Below are 18,496 nucleotides of genomic sequence, written 5' to 3'. Positions count from 1 at the left end.
GTCTCAAATAATAATAATAATAATTATTATTATTATTATTGTTATTCTGGGCACAGTGGCTCATGTCTGAAATCCCAGCACTTTGGGAGGCCAAGGCGGGTGGATCACATGAGGTCAGGAGTTCAAGACCAGCCTGGCCAACATGGTGAAACCCCGTCTCTACTAAAAATACAAATATTAGCTGGAAGTGGTGGTGGATACCTGCAATCCCAGCTACTTGGGAGGCTGGGGCAGAATTGCTTGAACCCAGGAGGGGAAGGTTGCAGTGAGCTGAGATCATGCTATTGCACTTTAGCCTGGTTGACAAGAGCAAGACTCTGTCTAAAAAATAAATAAAATAAAATGAAGAGGAGGAGGAGGAAACAGCCAGGTGAGGTGACTCACGCCTGTAAAGGAAGAGGTGGAGGTGGAGGTGGAGGTGGAGGTGCAGGTGGTGGTGGAGGTGGAGGTGGTAACAGCCAGGCGTGATGGCTCCTGCCTGTAGAAGAGGAGTTGGAGTTGGAGGAGGAGGAGGAAACAGACAGGTGAGGTGGCTCACACCTGTGAAGGAGGAGGAGGAGGAGGAAACAGCCAGGCAGGTGGCTCAGGCCTGTAGAGGAGGAGGAGGAGGAAACAGCCAGGCACACTGCCTCCTGCATGTAAAATGAGGAGGAGGAGGAAACAGCCAGGCGTGGTGGCTCACCCCTATAAAAGAGGAGGAGGAGGAGGAAATAGCCAGGTGTGGGGCTCACGCCTGTAAAGGAGGAGGAGGAGGAAACAGCCAGATGTCATGGCTCATGCCTGTTAAAGGAGGAGGAGGAAACAGCTAGGTGTGGTGGCTCACGCCTCGAGGAGGAGGAGGAGGCAGCAGCGGAAACAGCCAAGTGTTGTGGCTCACACCTGTAAAAGGAGGAGGAGGAGGAGGAGGAAGAGGAAACAGCCAGGCATGGTGGCTGATGCCTGTAAAAGAGAAGGAGGAGGAGGAAACAGCCAGGCATGGTGGCTCACGCCTCTCAAAGAGGAAGAGGACAGCCAGACACAGAGGCTCACGCCTGTAGAGGAGGAGGAAGAGGAGGAGGAGGAGGAGGAAACAGGCGCGGTGGCTCACACCTGTAAAAGAGGAGGAGAAGGAGGAAACAGCCAAGTGTGGTGGCTCACGCCTGTAAAAGAGGAGGAGGAGGAAACAGGTGTGGTGGCTCATGCCTGTAAAAGAGGAGGAGGAGGAGGTGGAGGAAATAGCCAGGCTTGGTGGCTCAGGCCTGTAAAGGAGGAGGAGGAGGAAACAGTCAGGTGAGGTGGCTCATGCCAGAGGAGGGGGAGGAGGAGGAGGAGGGGGAGGAGACAGGCACAGTGGCTCATGCTTGTATAAGCGGAGGAGGTGGAGGAGGAAACAGCCAGGCGAGGTGGCTCATGCTTATGGAGGAGGAAGAAACAGCCAGGTGTGGTGGCTCACGCCTGTAAAAGAGAAGGAGGAGGATGAGGAAACAGCTAGGCTTGGTGGCTCACCCCTGTAAAAGAGGAGGAGGAGGAGGAAATAGCCAGGTGTGGTGGCTCACGCCTGTAAAGGAAGAGGAGGAGGAAACTGCCAGGTGCCGTGGCTCATCCCTGTTAAAGGGGGAGGAGGAGGAAACAGCCAGGCATGGAGGCTCACGCCTGTAAAGGAGGAGGAGGGGGAAACAGCCAGGCATCATGGCTCATGCCTGTTAAAGGAGGAGAAGGAGGAGGAGGAAACAGCCAGGCATGGTGGCTCACGCCTGCAAAGGAGGAAAAAACAGAGTCATGTGCCTCACGCCTGTAAAGGAGGAAGAGGAAGAGAGGAAGGAAAAGGAAACAGCCAGGTGTGATGGCTCACGCCTGTAAAGGAGGAGAAGGAGGAGGAGGAAACAGCAGCTCACGTGTGTAAAAGAGGAGGAGGAGAAAACAGTCGTGGTGGCTCACGCCTGTGAAAGTGGAGGAGGAGGAGGAAATAGCCAGGTGCGATGGCTCAAGTCTGTAGAAGAGGAGGAGGAGGAGGAAAAAACAGCCAGTTGTGGCCGATGGCTGTAAAGGAGGGGAAGGAGGAGGAAACATCCCGGCGAGGTGGCTCAGGTCTGTAGAGGAGGAGGAGGAAGAAACAGCCAGGCGTGGTGGCTCACATCTGTAAAGGAGGATGAGGAGGAGAAAGTAATAGCCAGGCAGTGGCTCCCGCCTTTAAATGAGGAGGAGGACAACAAAGAACCAGAGGAGGTGGCTCACACCTGTGGAGGAGGAGGAGGAGGAAGCCAGGCTTGATGGCTCACGCCTGTAAAGGAGAAGGAGGAAGAGGAATAAACAGCCAGGCACGCTGGCTCCTGCCTTTAAATGAGGAGGAGGAGGAAGAGGGAAAAGAAAGCTGTCAGCGTGTACCACATCTTGGAGGGCAGCATCCCAGATCTGCGGAGTGTTAGCTTCAGACTGGTACATTCACCGAGCCTTTCAGGGCTGCCCCATCTTCCTACCAGGCTGCTCATTTCTTCTTTTTTCTCTTATTATTTTTTTTTTTTTGGAGACAGTGTCCCTCTGTGGCCCAGGCTAGAGTGCAGTGGCGTGATCTCGGCTCACTGCAGCGTCTGCCTCCTGGATTCAAGTGGTTCTCCTCTCTCAGCCTCCTGAGCAGCTGGGATTACAGGCGCATGCCACCACACCCAGCTAATTTTTTTGTATTTTTAGTACAGACGGGATTTCACCATATTGACCAGGCTGGTCTCGAACTCCTGCCCTTGTGATCTGCCTGCCTTGGCCTCCCAAAGTGCTAGGATTATAGGCATGACCCACCACGCCCAGCCTTAATTATATTTTTTGTAGAGATGGGGGTCTCACTGTGTTTCCCAGGTTGGTCTCAAATTCCTTTCCTCAAGAGATCCTCCCACGTTGGCCTCCCAAAGTGCTGAGATTACAGGTGTGAGCCACTATGCCTAGTCTTAATTTTTGTATTTTGGTATTTAGTATTTTTGTATATTTAGTAGAGACAGGGTTTTGCCATGGTCTTGAACTCCTGGACTCAAGCAATCTGCCCACCTTGGCCTCCCAAGGTGGAATCTCACTCTATTGCATCCAACAGGCATGGAAGAGGCTCTGCTGTGGCCTGCTCAAATTCCTGCTGTGGAAAGCAAGAGAAGGTGCTCCTTGAAGAAACAGGGGGATCCCACCGATCTCAGGGGTTCTTTCCTGGCCTGCAGCCCTGGATCGTCCAGACTGTGCTGGGGTGGGGAACCGACCTTGCCCTTCTTGGCTGGGGCTGAGAGTGAGGGTCCCGCTTCCCCAAAGGCCTAGCCCGGGGTTCCAGCCACAGGCCCCACTGGGCAGCGCCAGGCCCATCCCGCCCCTCTAGGCCTGGCACTCGCCCTCAGCAAAGATGGCGCGGATCGTCTCAGGTACCTGATGCGACCTGTCCGCAGCCTCCTCCTGCACTGCTCTTAGCCCTGCAGACGGTGGCCAAGCAGTGGAGTGGAAAGCGTGACCTAGTGGACAGGTGTGGCCTGCACGGCGTTTGGGCCGCTGTTGCTGTGTGCTGGCACTGCAAGGCGGGATGCTGTACCCCAAGGAGAGTCCGTCGCGGGAGCCCAAGGAGCTGGGTGGCCTCTGGAGCTTCCCTGCCGATTTGGACAACCGACGCCAGGGCTTTAAGGAGAAGTGGTACCCGCGGCCACTGCAGGAGGTGAGGACTCGGGGCAGGGCCTGGAGGCACCCGGAAGCCCGGCAGTGGGAGAGAGGAGCCCCAGCCCCCTGCAGGCTCCTTCCCCTGGGCATCCCGGAGCTGGGGGCCCAAAGGAGGTTAAAGGTCAATGGGCTTGGAGCGGGACTAGTGGATGGGGACCCGGGGAAACCGGGAAGACCAAGGCAGAGGAGGTGGGAAGAGGAGGAAGTGCTCCTGCAGAGCCCCCTCCTGAGGTGAAGGGTGAGCCTGGGCAGTGTCCTTTTTAATGTTTATTTTTAATTTATAAATTTTTTTGAGACTGGGTTTGGCCCTGTTACCCAGGCTGGAGCTGAGTGGTGCAATCCATTGAGCTCAAGTGATTCTCCTGCCCCAGCCTTGCAAGTTAGCTGGGGCCACCACGCCTGGCTAATCAGAAAAAAACCTTGGACAGGCTAGGTGGCTCACTCCTGTAATCCCAGCACTTTGGGAGGCGCAGGCGGGCAAATCACCTGAGGCCAGGAGTTCGAGACCAGCCTGGCCAACATGGTGAAACACTGCCTCTACTAAAAATATAAAAATTAGCCAGGTGTGGTTGGTTCATGCCTGTAATCCCAGCTACTTGGAAGACTGAGGCAAGAAAATCGCTTGAACCCAGGAGGCGGAGGTTGCAATGAGCCGAGATAACACCACTGCACTCCAGCCTGGGTGACAGAGTGAGACTCCGTTTAAAAAAAACACTGAAAAAACTTTTTTTTTTTTTTAAGATACAGGGTCTCACTGCATTGCCCAGGCTGGTCTCAAATTCCTGGCCTCAAGCCATCCTCCCACGTTGACCTCCCAAAGTGCTGATTACAGGCTTTTGATTACCCACACACTCATCTAGCCAGAGTGGCATGTGCTGCACAGAGCCGGGCCTGGGGATTGGGAGGAGGGGACAGTTTAGACGTTCTGAGGTCAGCTCTGCCGAGGCAGGAAGGTCCCTTGGTTTTCAAGGTTCAGATAGAGGACAGGACATGACATCAGGCCAAGGACGCCACCCCTGTTCCCCTTCTGACTTGGATGTGGTCAGTAGAGAAATGGGACCAGGTGAGGTCTGGGCTGCGTTTGCCTATTCTACATTCTCTTTTTCTGACTTTGAGGCATTCAGTACAGGAGGAAGAGGAGAGGGCTGTGTGCTAGCGTGCACCCCACTCAGAGTGTCCTAAGCAAAGCTCCCCCATCCCCCCAACCAGCCTTCCTCCCTGTGACAGGCAGTAGGTCATCTGTCTCGGGAGATATTGGGCCCCATCCACTCCCGAGGAGGAACTCCTGGCCCCACTGGCCCAGGTGCACAAACCGCCCTGGCAGTTGACCTGTTGCAGCAAGTTATCTGTACGTTCCACCAAGGGTTCCTGCTGTATGTCAGGACTTGCGCTAGGCCTGCGGGGGGGCACAGCTGTGCAGCACACTGGCCCCAGATCTTTTTGGGGACCTAGGAGCTGAGCCTGGCCCCTCTCTCCGCAGTCAGGCCCCACCCTGGACGTGCTGGTTCCCTTCAGCTTCAACGACATTGGCCAGGACTGGCGCCTGCGGCATTTTGTTAGCTGGATGTTGTACGAATGGGAGGTGACCCTGCCGGAGAAATGGACCCAGGACCTGCGTGCAAGAGTGGTGCTGAGGATTGGCAGTGCCCACTCCTATGATATCGTGGTCAGTGCAGCCAGGAGCAGGCAGGGTGGGTGGGTGGGCATGGCTGCCGACCAGCATGGGACCCCCAGCAGCCACCCACAGCCTGTCTTCTGGCGTGGGATGGTGGGGGTCCCTGCTCTGCCCTGCCCTGGGGGCTATGTCCTGTGTAGGGGGATAGGTGGCCTGATCTACCCCATCGGGATGCCATTCTTCCCATCTGCCTGGCAGGCCCCTGAGCCCCATGCTGCAGGTTATGTGAGGGAGTGCCCAATAGCAGGGCCTCTCCTTATGCGCTGACCTGCCACCCCCTCCCCATATCTCCTTTGTCTGCAGTGGGTGAATGGTGTCAACACGCTAGAGCATGAGGGGCTGACATCAGCAGCTTGGTCCAGGTGGGGCCTCTGCCCTCCTGCCTCTGCGTCACTAATCAACATCAGTAATATGCTCAACCCCAAGAGGGGGGGTCCCTGCCACCAGGGACCATCTGCTACATGACCAACACCTCCAAGTGGGTACCATCCTGTCTCCACTGCACGCACCCACCTTCCCATCCCACCCTGTGGTCTTCCTGCTAGGGACAGGGTGGCCTTCGCAGAGTGGAGGCCCTGGATCTGGGGAGGCTGGGGAGGCCTGTGAGCTGAAGTCAAAGGACCCAGGGCAAGGGCCCAGAGAACCACAATCTTCACACCCTAGGTATCCCAAGGGTTGTTTTGTCCAGAACACAGACTGACTTCTTCAACTACGCGGGACTGCAGTGGTCTGTGCTTCTGTACACGACACCCACCACCTACATCGATGACATCACCATCACCACCGGTGTGGAGCATGACAGTGGTGAGGGCTTCTGGTAAGATCCTCCCTCCGTGGGGCCCTGAGTGGCTCTGTTTGTTCCCTGTTTGGAAAGCTCTCCCAGGAAAAAGGTGCTCCCAGCATCTCTAAACCCCCACAGGTTCCCATCCACCTACAAAGCTAAAATCCAGCCTATCTGAGCAGACGCGGGCTCCTGAAATCACCTGTGTGGTTGACCTCACTTGGAGAAGAGGAGTTTGGCCTAACGTCACACAGCTCAGGGCGGCTGTCCTGTCCTTTCCCCACGGTGCTGCTCTCACTCCAGCTCCCCTTGCTACACATCATGCTCAAGGAACAGGCAGCTTTGGAGGAACAGGCACAGTGGCTCGTGCCTGTCCTCTCAGCTCTTTGCAAGGAGGCCCTGGTAGGAGGATCACTTGAGGCTAGGAGTTCAAGACCAGCCTGGGCAACAGCGAGACCATCACCACAAAAAATTAAAAAATTAGTCAGGCATGGTGATGTGTGCTGGTAGTCCCAGCTACTGAGACAGGAGAATCACTTGAACCTGGGAGGTCAAGGGTGCAGTGAGCTACGACTACACCACTGCGCTCCGGTCTGGGCAGCAGAGGGAGACCCTGTCTTTTTTTTTTTTTTTTTTTTTTTTTTTTTTGTGATGGAGTCTCACTCTGTTGACCAGGCTGGAGGGCAGTGGTACAATCTCGGCTCACTGCAACCTCCGCCTCCTGGTTTCAAAGGATTCTCCTGTGTCAGCCTCCCGAGTAGCTGGGATTACAGGCACCTGCCACCATGCCCAGTTAATTTTTGTATTTTTTTTTTAGTAAAGACAGGGTTTCACCATGTTAACCTGGCTGGACTTGAACTCCTGACCTGAGGTGATGCACATGCCTCAGCATCCCAGAGTGTAAGGATTTTTAAAGTTTTTTTTTCTTGTTTTAAATATATCTTTTTCTTTTTCTGAGATGAGGCCTTACACTGTCGCCCATGCTGGAGTACAGTGGCGAGATTATTGACAGCTGTTTTGGGGCTGCAGTTCCAAGTTTAAAAGAGTTTAGGCTGGGTGCGGTGGTTAATGTCTGTCTTGGGAGGCCAAGGTGGACAGATAGCTTGAGCTCAAAAGTTCGAGACCCGCCTGGGCAACATAGTGAGACCCTGTCTCAAATAAATAAATAAATAAATAAATAAATAAATAAAATTAAATAAATAGGAATTTAAACAAGAATCACACAGCAAAGGTGATGCAGCATAGAGCAATTTATTGCAAAGAAAAAAGTATTTTGGAAGTTAAGTGCAGAATAGCCCGGGCACAGTGGCTCATCCCTCTAATCTCAGCACTTTTGGAGGCCGAGGCAGGTGGATCACTTGAGGAGTTCAAATCAGCCTGGCCAACATTAGCTTGGCGTGGTGGCGTGTGCCTGTAATACCAGCTACTCGGGTGGTTGAGATGGGAGAATTGCTCGAACTTCTGAGGTGGAGGTTGCAGTGAGCTGAGATTGCAACACTGCACTCCAGCCTGGGTGACAGAGCGAGACCCCTTCTCAAAAAAAATAGTGAAGTGCAAAATACACAGTTCACCCTGAGAGAGAATTCAGGGCAGGCTGCTCGTAGCAATGAGACAGCACTGATTATTACTGGCGAAACTCCCTTTCTGGGAGTCTTCCATGATGAATTCCTAAGGAGCTGGGAAGAGGTGTAAGCACGTTTTGGGCTGTCCTTTGGTTGCGTATGCATAGTAGCTGTACATGCTTGTTCACATGTCACATATCTCAGCACCATGATTGGCACGTCTCAAGGACGTGTTCGCTTCCTTGACTACCTACCCTGCCTTAAGATGTATCTTACTGCAGCCTCGAACTCCTGGCTCAAGCAATCCTCCCGTTTCAGCCTTCCAAGTAGCTGGGGCTGCTGGGGCTGCAGGCAGACACCACCACGCTTGGCTAATTTTTTGTATTTTTAGGGAAGAAGTGGTTTCCCTATGTTAACCAGGCTGGTCTTGAACTCCTGGGCTCAAGCGATCCTTCCACCTCAGCCTCCCCAAGTGTTGGGATTACAGGTGTGACCACTCTGCCTGGTCAAAAAAATCTTTTTTTAAATTGAAAAAAAGTGCCAGACACGGTGGCTCACGCCTGTAATCCCAGCACTTTGGGAGGCTGAGTTGAGTGGATCACATGAGGAGTAGGTGTGATTTCTACAATTGGTTTGGTGGAAATCAAATCCAAGTATGACTACAGCTGATGGCAAGGGGACAAGGCCTTTCGCCATGGTGAGTCATAGCATCCCCAAAAGTTAAAAATACCAAATGCATGACAGTGCTCCCGTGTCTGGTTAATATGGTGATAGTCACTAGTCCATCGAGATGTCTTATTTAAGGGGAACGTATGGGCAATCTTAGTTTTATGGCCCTGAGCTAAGAACCAGATGCCAGGTATAGTTTCAGTATAGTCAACCCCAAGTATTATGGGCCCGGAGCAAGGAGGGTAACACATCCAAGCAGGATGATGATTTCTCGGAGGTTGGTAGACTAAGAGACCAAAATTTAGTAGGAGATAACCATGTTGGGAGGGTGGTTTTGACTGAAATGTGCTATGTCCAATGAACCAATGAATGCACTATGTAATATTAAGAATTTTGAGTGCTGGTCGATATCCATATGGAACTAGTTCTATGTGTAAGTGTAGTATTATATACGATAGTTAAGAAATTGCTAATACTTGTTTATATGTGTGTGGAGCAAGCTTGTAATGTCATACAATCTGTGAATGTACTGTGTACAATCAAGCATTGATAATTCTATATATTCATGGGGACTAGCAGTAATGCACGAAGTACATAAAAGTATTAATGTATTAGTGCTGATGGTCAGGACTTACATAGTAGTAAAAATGCGTGCCAAAAAAAATACAGAGAATAGTTTAATTAGAATCTCAGCTTTGGGTGTTGATGGTGAAGTGGGAATGCTTTTTCTCTGAGTTGCCCTAGGGAGGGGACTCTCCATTTCTGCTTTACAAGACTGGTGTATTGGATTATACTACAAGGGCAGTTTCATTTAAGTAGTTTATTCTTGATTAGGGCAGTGAGTGGTATGAGAACAAGAATAATAGAGAAATATATCACAGATGCTATCTGTCCGATGGTAATGAAAGGATGTTCAACTGGCTGTCCTCTGATTCATGTGAGTGTGAATACGTCGGTGACTAAGGTTCAGAACAGATATTGACTCCTGGTTTATTGGGGATGGATCGTAAGATTGTGTATACAAATAAAAAGTATCACTGTGGTTTTATGTGGGGCAGGGTATTTGGGGGTTGACTAAGGGGTAATTATCTGGGTCGCTCAGGAGGTCAGGCAGAAACAGTACTAGAATTATTAACATGAGGAGGAGAAAAATTAAACCTAGAATATCTTTGGTTGTTTAGTAAGGGTGGAAGGTGATTTTGTCAGAATGTGATGAAATTCCTGAAGGGTTATTAGACCCTGTTTCGTGTAGGAATAAAAGGTGGAGAATTGTCAGGGCTATTATGGTGAAAGGTAAGATGAAGTGGAAGTTGAAGAGTTGTGTAAGAGTGGCTTTGTAAACTGGAAATCCACCTTCGATTCATGGGACAAGGTCAGTTCCAATATATGGGAAGGCTGATAGTAGGTTTGTGATTACTGTAGTGCCTCAGAATGGTATCTGGCCTCATGGAAGCACATAGCCTATAAATGCTGTTGCTGTGGTTATGAGTAGGAGGATAATGCCAGTGTTTCATGTTTCTAAATGTACGAATGACCCATAATATAAGCCTCCGCCGACGTGTAGGAAGAGGCAGATGAAGAATGTTGAAGGGCCATTAGTGTGAAAACAGCGGACTCTTCAGCCGTAGTCCACATCTCGGTTAATATGGGCAATAGAAGAGAAAGCAATTGGGGTATCTGGTGTCTAGTGTATGGCCAGAAACAGGTACCAAGAAGTGAGCCAAAGTTTCATCATATAGAGATATTAGATGGTGTGGGGAGATCAATGAATGAGTAATTAATGATTTTTATTAGTGGGTTTGTTTTACATGTAATGGTCATTAGTGTTCTTGAAGTACAGTGATGGTTTTTCATATCATTAGTCATGGCTATAACCCATGTGGGAATAATGACATATGCTTTATTCTTATTAAGTGTTCTTTTGTTACGGGATTTGTAGGTTTTTTTTCTAAACCTTCTATTTATGGGGGTTTAGGGTTAATTCTTAGTGGTGCTGTAGGTTGTGTTATTGTGTTGAATTATGGTGGGGCTTTTATGGGACTAATAGTCTTTTTTGTTTATTTGGGGGGGATGATGGTTGTTTTTGGTTATACTGTGGTGATGGCTATTGAGGAATACCCTGAGGCATGAGGATCAAGTATTGATGTTTTAGAAACTTTATTATTGGGGCTACTAATAGAGTTGTTGTTACTTTGATGAATGATGAGTATGATGGGGTGGTCATCATAGTTAATTTTATTAGTGTGGGAAGTTGAATAATTTTTGAGGGGGAGGTGCCAGGGTTAATGCATCAGGATTCTGTGGGTGCGGGTGCTTTATATAATTATGGGTGTTGATTGTTCGTAGTTGCTGATTGAACATTGTTAGTATTTATGTGGCAGTTGAAATTACTCTGGGTAATAGATTAGATAATTAAGAGTAAAGTTAAGAAGGATGGAATAACAAAAGAAAAAATAAAATTTAATTAGGCCTTTTTGAGTAGTTATGGTAATGGAGGCTTTGAGTTGCGTCTGTGAAATTGTCTTTGGTATGGACTTTTCTAGTCAAATTAGGTCTAGCAGAAGTGATGCCAGATTTTGGCTTGTAGGTAGGTTTGAGTGAGGGGTTGTACGGTGAATTGTGATTGAGTAAAATCCTTATATATTGGAGAAGCTGAATGTTTGTAATGGATATGTTATCTTAAGATTATTAGTTATAAAACTAAGTTCCATTGCCAGTAAGAGTCTTCGGAAGGTTACACCTCGGGCTGTGAGTTTTAGGTGAGGTGATATTGTTGTTTGGGAGGATGAAGTGTAGGGATAATGCTATTGGTGATGAGAAACCCAGCGAAGATACTGCCGACTATAAGGCATTTAATTGGGTTTATTAGGGAAGAGTTATTTTTGTCAATGCTGATTAGGGTTGGGACGTGGGATTGTCCTATTAGAGCAAAGAAAATAATTTGGATATTATAGACACTTGCTAGGGAGGTGGCAATAAGAGTAGTAGAGAGGGCTCAGGCGTTGGTATAGGGATGTGTTTGCACTTTTGATAATGAGATCTTTAGAGTAAAAGCCTGTGAGGAAAGGCATAGCCATAAGTGCTAGGCTGCCAATAATAAGGGAGGAGGAAGTAAGGGGTAAAGTCTTAAATAGTCCTCCTATTTTTCAGGTATCTTGTTTATTGTTGAGGTTATGGATGATGGATCCTGAACTTATAAATAATATAGCTTTAAAAAAGGTGTGGGTGCAAATGTGTAGGAATGCTAGGTGTGGTTGATTCTTGCCCATTGTGGCTATTATAAGGCCTAGTTGACTTGAGGTGGAGAATGCTACGATTTTGTTGATCACATTTTGTGTTAGAGCACAAATTGCTGTAAATAAGGTGGCAATAGCCCCTAAACACATTTTAAGGGTTTGGATTAACATATTATTTTCTATTAAGGGGTGGAAGTGGATAAGCAGTAAAATTCCTGCTACAACTACAGCGCTAGAGTGGAGTAGGGCTGAGACTGGGGTTGGACCTTCCATGGCGGAAGGAGGTCAGGGGTAGAGGCCAAATTGAGCTGACTTTCCCGCTGCTGCTAAGAGAAGGCCAATTAATGGCAGATCAGGGGTAGGATTTAGGATAAATGCTCGTTGAGGTTCTCATGTATTGTAAGATGAGAGGAATCATGCTATAGCTAAAATGAAGCCAATATCGCCAATGCGGTTATACAGAATCGCTTGGAGGGCTGCTGTATTAGCATCTGCTCAGCTGTGTCATCAGCCAGTTAGTAAAACCAGACATAATTCCTACACCTTCTCATCTGATAAAAAGTTGAAAAAATGTTGTTGGTGGTAACTAGAATTAATATTGTGGTGAGGAAAATAAGTAAATATTTGAAAAATCGATTAATGTTAGGATCTGATTTTATATATCAAGAATTCTATAAGAGATCAGGTGACAAATAGTGCTACTGGGATAAATTTTATGGAGAAGTAGTCTAGTTTGAAGCTTAGTGAGAGTTTAAGGGTTTGGATTGTTATTGAATGTCAGTTTGAGATGATGGCTTCTTGGTCTATATACACAAACGTTGTGGGAATGAGGCTAATGGTGAAGGTGCATGCAGTAGATATTTTTACATAATATGGATCCAAGTTCTTGTGAGGGTTGATTAAGGTGGTAGTAATTGGTAAGGTTAAGGAGATTAAGGTTATTATAGTAATGGAAAAATACGTGATTATTACTTTTATTTTGAGTTGCACCAATATGTTTGGTTTCTAAGACCAACGGATAGCTCTTATCCTCTACAACTTGAGAAAGCCATGTTGTTAGGCACAGGGGCATGAGTTAGCAGTTCTTGCATACTTTCTCAGTAAATAAGAAGTTGCAGACTTTTATTATTAGACCCACAATCTAATGTTTTGATTAAACTATATTTACAGGGTATAAAACCTACAATAATCTTAGGGTTTAGGGATAATAGGAGAATAGGTGCAAAGTGTATGTGTATTAGTATATTTTCTCGTGTAGAGGAAGGTTTAATGCTATTAATGTAATATGTGTTTCTTGTTGTATTGTGATAAGTATGTATAGGGAATAAAAGGCTGTGATTAATATTAAATCCTATAAGCATAATGGTGATGTTTGATCAGGAGAGTGAAGCCACCATTACAAAGAGTTCTCCCATTAGATTAATGGTGGGGGGTAAGGCAAGGTTAATAAGATTTGCTCTAAGTCATCAAAAGGCTATTAGTGGGAGTAGTGTTTGAAGCCCTCTGGAGGGTAATATGATTTGGCTATGGATTCGCTCATAGTTTGAATCTGCTAGGCAGAGTAGTAAGGACGAAGGAAGTCCATGGGCAATTTTGAGGGTAATTGCACCAGTAAAGCTTCAGGGGGTTTGAATGAGGATAGACATAATAATAAGTGCTATACGGCTTGTGGAAGAATATGCAATAAGTGATTCTAGATCAGTTTGTCGTAGACAAATAGAGCTTATCATAACTATCCCTCATAAGGATAACATGAGGAAGGGGTAGACTGTATATTCTGTCAGGGGGCTGAGGATAAGGGTAAGCCATATTATGCCGTAGCTGCCTGGTTTTAGGAGAACTGCTCTAAGTACTATTGAGCCTGCAATAGGGGCTTCTACATGAGCTTTAGGAAGTCATACGTGAAGTCCGTATGGGGGTATTTTTACTATAAAACCCATAACACATGCTAATCATATAAGGTTATTTGATCAGGAGATTAATAGTTCTTGGGTGTTAAATATTATTATCATGTTCAGTGAACCTAAGGTATTTTGAGTATAAATAAGTATCATAAGTAGAGGGAAGAGATCCCACTAGTGTATAAAATAAGAAATATGAGCTTGCATTGAGGCGTTCTGGTTGGTTACCCCAGGGGGTGATAATAATTAAGGTAGGGATAAGTGTAGCTTCAAAGGAAATATAAAATGTAATTAGTTCTGTGGCTGTGAATGCCATGACTAAAGAAAATTGTAGGGTAATCAATATGGAAATATAGAGCTTTTTCCATGGGGGTGACTCATTGGAGAGGTGGTACTGGCTTGCTATAATTACAAGAGGTAGTAGTCAGGCTGTTAAGATTAGGAGAGGTGATGTCAGTGGATCAGAAGAGAAAGTTAATGAGAAGTTGAATAGATTGTCATTGAATTGATTAATAAATAATAGGGCAATGAAACTAATGATTAGGCTGTGAATAGTCATATTGATTTAGATTATTGAGTTTTTAGAGAATCATGTTATTGGTAGCAGTATAATTGTTGGAATAATAATTTTTAGCATCGAAGTAAATTTAGGTTATATACATAGTCTAGGCTATAGGTGTTGGAGATGGAAACTAGTAAGGCTGTAAATACTAGGAGGGTAATGGGTATTATGAATGCCACGGTGAAATATATATTTAAAGGTATAAGGGTATTTATGATGAATAATGATAATATTCCTTCTAGGCATAGTAGGGATGTTATCAGATGGGATGGATAGATTAATATCCCCAGAAGTGATATGGTATATGCTAATATGATATTGATATAAATAGAGGGCATTTGGTAAATATGTTGTATCATAATCTAATGAGTCAAAATCATTTATTTTGGCTTAAACTATCTACCAATTCAGTTCAATCTAATCCTTTTTGAGTTCATTCATCAGTTAACCCTAGGACTAAAATGATAACTAGTATAAGGGCTGTGCTGTTTGTTAGTGTCAGATTGCTTGTTTGAAGGGCTTATGGCAAGGGTAGTAAGTAGTAGGGCGATTTCTAAGTCAAATAGGGGGAATGTGATGGCTATTAGAAAAAATTTTATGGAGAAAGGAATGTGGGCGGAGGATAACAGGTCAAATCCGCATTCGTAGGGGCTGGATTTTTTTTATATAAATATTAAGTAGTGGGAGCCAAAATGTAATAACTGTTAGTGATAGGGCTAATAGGGTGTTGATTACTAAGGCTAGTATTAGGTTAATTACTCTTTTTCGGATGTTGTCCAAACTAAATGATTGGAAGTCAGTGGTACTGTTTATACTAAAAGAGTAAGATCCTCATCAGTAAATAGAAATATACAAGAATAGTCATACTACATCTACAAAGTGTCAATATCAGGTGGCGTCTTCAAAGCCAAAGTGATGGCTAGATGTAAAGTGGTATTTTAATTTGCAGGGGAGACAGATAGTGAGGAATGTTGATCCAATAATGATGTGAAGTCCGTGAAAGCCTGTAGGTGTAAAGAATGTTGGGCCATAAATTCCATCAGAAATAGCAAAGGGAGCCTCAAAGTATTCTGAGACTTGTAGGAGGGTGAAGTAAATACGTAAGGTAATTGTGATAAGTAGTGCTTGAATTATTTGTTTTCGATTATTTTCTATTAGGCTGTGATGGGCTCAGGTAATTGAAACCCCTGATGCAAGTAATACAGATGTATTCGGGAGGAGTACTTCCAGAGGGTCAAGGGGAGAAATGCTTGTTGGGGGTCAGTGTCTTCCTAGTTCTGGAATTGGGGCTAGACTAGAATGGTAGAATGCCCAGAAAAATCCAGCAAAGAAAAATACTTCTGAGATAATAAATAGTACTATTCCATATCAGATGCCTTTTTGGACAATTGTTGTATGGTGGCCTTGAAATGTACTTTCTCAGATAATGTCATGTCACCATTGATATATAGTCAGTGTATTGTTTAGTAGGCCTAAGGTTAAAAGAGTAATAGAGTTAAAGTGAAATCATATAGCTAAGCTGGATGTAACTAGGAGAGAGGAGAGAGCCCTTGTTAAGGGCTGAGTTTGACGAAATGATAGGTGTGTGTTTGGTGGGTCATTATGTGTTGTCATATAAATAAAGGCTTACTAATAGCGTAAAGGCATAAGCTTGGATAAGGGCCACAGCGAATTCGAGAGTGGTCAATAGAATTCGAATAATAAGGGTGTTTGAAGCTGTGGGAAGGTTAATAATTGATAATACTAGCGTGGCTCCTCCAATTAAGTGTATGAGTAAGTGACCGGCTGTAATGTTGGCTGTTAAATGTACAGCTAGTGCCATTGGTTGAATAAGTAGACTAGTGGTTTTGATGATTACTAGTATAGGGGTAAGTAGTATGGGTGTGCCTTGTGGTAGGAAGTGAGCTAAGGAGTTTTTAGTTTTAAAGTGGAAGGCTGTGATTACTGTGCCTGCTCATAAGGGGATTGTTATACCTAGATTTATTGATAGTTGGGTAGTCGGTGTAAATGAGTGGGGTAGAAGCCCAAGGAGATTGGTTAAGGCAATAAAGAGAATTAGGGATATTAGTATAAGGGATCAGGTTCATCCTTTAATAGTATGTGTGATTATTATTTGTTTTAGAACAAGTTGAACTAGTGATTGTTGAATAGAAATCAATCAGTTATTGATTAGATAGTTGGAGATTGGAAGCAGTGTGGTGAGAAACAAGATGATTAGTGCTGCTGCGGGTAAACCGAGGATTGTCGGGGCAGTAAATGAGGTGAGCAGATTTTCGTTCATTTTAGTTGTCAAGGGTTGTTATGTTTTTGTGTTTTAATTATTTTTGGTGTAGGGGGTGTGTGGTAAATGAACTTTGGTAGTTTTAATTGAATAACGGAGAATAAAGTTATGATTGTTGATATAATAATAATAGGTCATGTGGAAGTATCTAGTTGAGGCATTCACTGTAGAGAGGTGTGATTTCTCTCAGCCTTTAACTGAAAAGGTTAACACTGGGGTAGCTTTTTTTTTTTTTTTTTTTTTGAGACGGAGTCTCGCTTTGTCACCCAGGCTGGATGGAGTGCAGAAGCGCGATCTCAGCTCACTGCAAGCTCCACCTCACAGGTTCACGCGATTCTCCTGCTTCAGCCTCCTGAGTAGCTGGGACTACAGGTGCCCGCCACCATGCCCAGCTAATTATTTTTTTTGTATTTTTATTAGAGATGGGGTTTCACCATGTTATCCAGGATGGTCTCGATCTCCTGACCTCGTGATCCACCTGCCTCAGCCTCCCAAAGTGAGCCAGGCTACATATTGAGAATTTCTCAAACCTGTTCTTAAGATGTCTCTTCCCTAGATTTGTGTTCCGTTTATTGAGTTATGTGGATTTGCCCATGTTCCTGCTGAAGAGCCTGTAATTAGTTGGTACACCTGCTGTTTGTCTGTGGTCCTACAGTCTCTCTGTGCTGTAACAATCATTTACCTTTTGTCTCATAGACACTAACCTGACATTCAAAGTATAGCACCATTTCTTTCAGCACTCTGTGTCACGGTAGACAGAAACCAGTCTTTGGAAAGACCCCTCAAAGCCAGAAGTATGGACACATGTGCCACTATTTTTTTTTTTTTCACTTTTGAGAGAGAAGCCAGGAGTCGAGAGTTTACACTTAAAGGCATTATTTTGTATTGGGGAGGAGGTATGGCTGTGGTGGATAAATGTAACAAATGTTCTTTTGTCTTCTATGTGGCTTTTGGCATCATTCTCATCTGTGGCACTGCAATCTTTTAACTGGTTTTTAGAGCTGTTACAATGGCATTTTCGTCAATATATTTTTGTTAAGTTTACATGTCTATTAAGGAATTTGGGCTTGTGGTATTATGCCATTTTATTGTGCTTGGTATAATTTTATATTTTGTATTCATAGAGTATGCTTACCTGAGTCTAATAAGTGGTATAATTTATTTATTTATTTATTTTTAGCTGTGTCCTCTCATTTTACTCCAGACCTTTTGCCTGGGCAGAGCATAAAACATTTATTCCCAAAAGTGATAATGAGAAGATATGAAAGCTATGGCATTGAAAATTTAAAGTTAAAAGACTGGAAAAGCGTGGGTTAGTGTACGGGACAGAAAAAAGTTATAGTGGACTTAACCAATGTTAATCTTTCAATGTGATGAATGTGGCAAAGCTTTTAACTGGTGCTTAATCTTTATTCAACATAAGAGAATTAATACAGGAGAGAAACCATACAAATGTGAGGAATGTGGAAAAGCCTTTAACTGGTTTTCAAACCTTATTCGAAATAAGAGAATTCGTACTGTAGAGAAACTCTACAAATGTGAAGAATGTGCCGAAGGCTTCAACCAGGGCTCACATCTCACTGAACGCAAGAGAACTCATACTGGAAGGAAATCCTACACATGTGAAGAATGTGGCAAAACTTTTAACTGGTTCTCATACTTTTCTCAACATAAGAGGATTCATACTGGAGAGAAACCATACAACTGTGAAGAATGTGAAAAAGCTTTTATGCATGGCTGAATCCTTACCAAAAATTAGAAAATTCATACTAGAGAGAAATGCTACAAATGTGAAGAATGTGCCAAAACCGTTAACCAGAGCTCACATCTTATTGGACACAAGAGAATTCATACTGGAGAGCCACCCTACAAATGTGAAAAATGTGGTAAAGCCTTTAACTGGTTCTCAAACCTTACTAAATATAAGAGAATTCATACTGGAGAGAAACCCTAGAAATATGAAGAATGTCATAAGTCTTTGATCAATGCTCAATCCTTACTGAATATAAGATAATTCACATGATAGAGAACCCCTACAATTGTAAGGAATGTAGCAAAGATTTTAATTTGTGCTCACTTTTATTGTAAGTAAATTCATTCTGGAGAGAAACCCTATACATGTGAAGATATGGCAAAATCCAGCCTTCAGGCCTTATAATACATAAAATTATT

General features: G+C 45.0%; 8 pseudogenes across 1 annotated transcript; 2 read left to right on the top strand and 6 right to left on the bottom strand.

The window, feature by feature from the left end:
- The first annotated feature begins 3,367 nt into the window (after nt 1-3,367).
- On the top strand, nt 3,368-17,854 carry GUSBP10 (GUSB pseudogene 10; annotated as a pseudogene). Its single transcript, NR_030766.1, has 4 exons — nt 3,368-3,655; nt 5,138-5,323; nt 5,996-6,149; nt 17,505-17,854. The product of NR_030766.1 is annotated as a GUSB pseudogene 10 (transcript).
- MTCYBP29 (MT-CYB pseudogene 29) lies at nt 9,162-10,167 on the bottom strand (annotated as a pseudogene).
- Nucleotides 10,233-10,747, bottom strand: MTND6P29 (MT-ND6 pseudogene 29; annotated as a pseudogene).
- Nucleotides 10,755-12,531, bottom strand: MTND5P6 (MT-ND5 pseudogene 6; annotated as a pseudogene).
- MTND4P4 (MT-ND4 pseudogene 4) lies at nt 12,656-14,218 on the top strand (annotated as a pseudogene).
- On the bottom strand, nt 14,112-14,381 carry MTND4LP32 (MT-ND4L pseudogene 32; annotated as a pseudogene).
- MTCO3P10 (MT-CO3 pseudogene 10) lies at nt 14,873-15,644 on the bottom strand (annotated as a pseudogene).
- MTATP6P8 (MT-ATP6 pseudogene 8) lies at nt 15,644-16,324 on the bottom strand (annotated as a pseudogene).
- Nucleotides 17,855-18,496: the final 642 nt, after the last annotated feature.

The sequence above is a fragment of the Homo sapiens genome, chromosome 7 (genome assembly GCF_000001405.40).
Source record: "Homo sapiens chromosome 7, GRCh38.p14 Primary Assembly".
Taxonomy (NCBI): domain Eukaryota; kingdom Metazoa; phylum Chordata; class Mammalia; order Primates; family Hominidae; genus Homo; species Homo sapiens.
The sequence above is the reverse complement of the archived record's forward strand: the minus strand, read 5'-3'. Positions and strand labels throughout refer to the sequence as shown.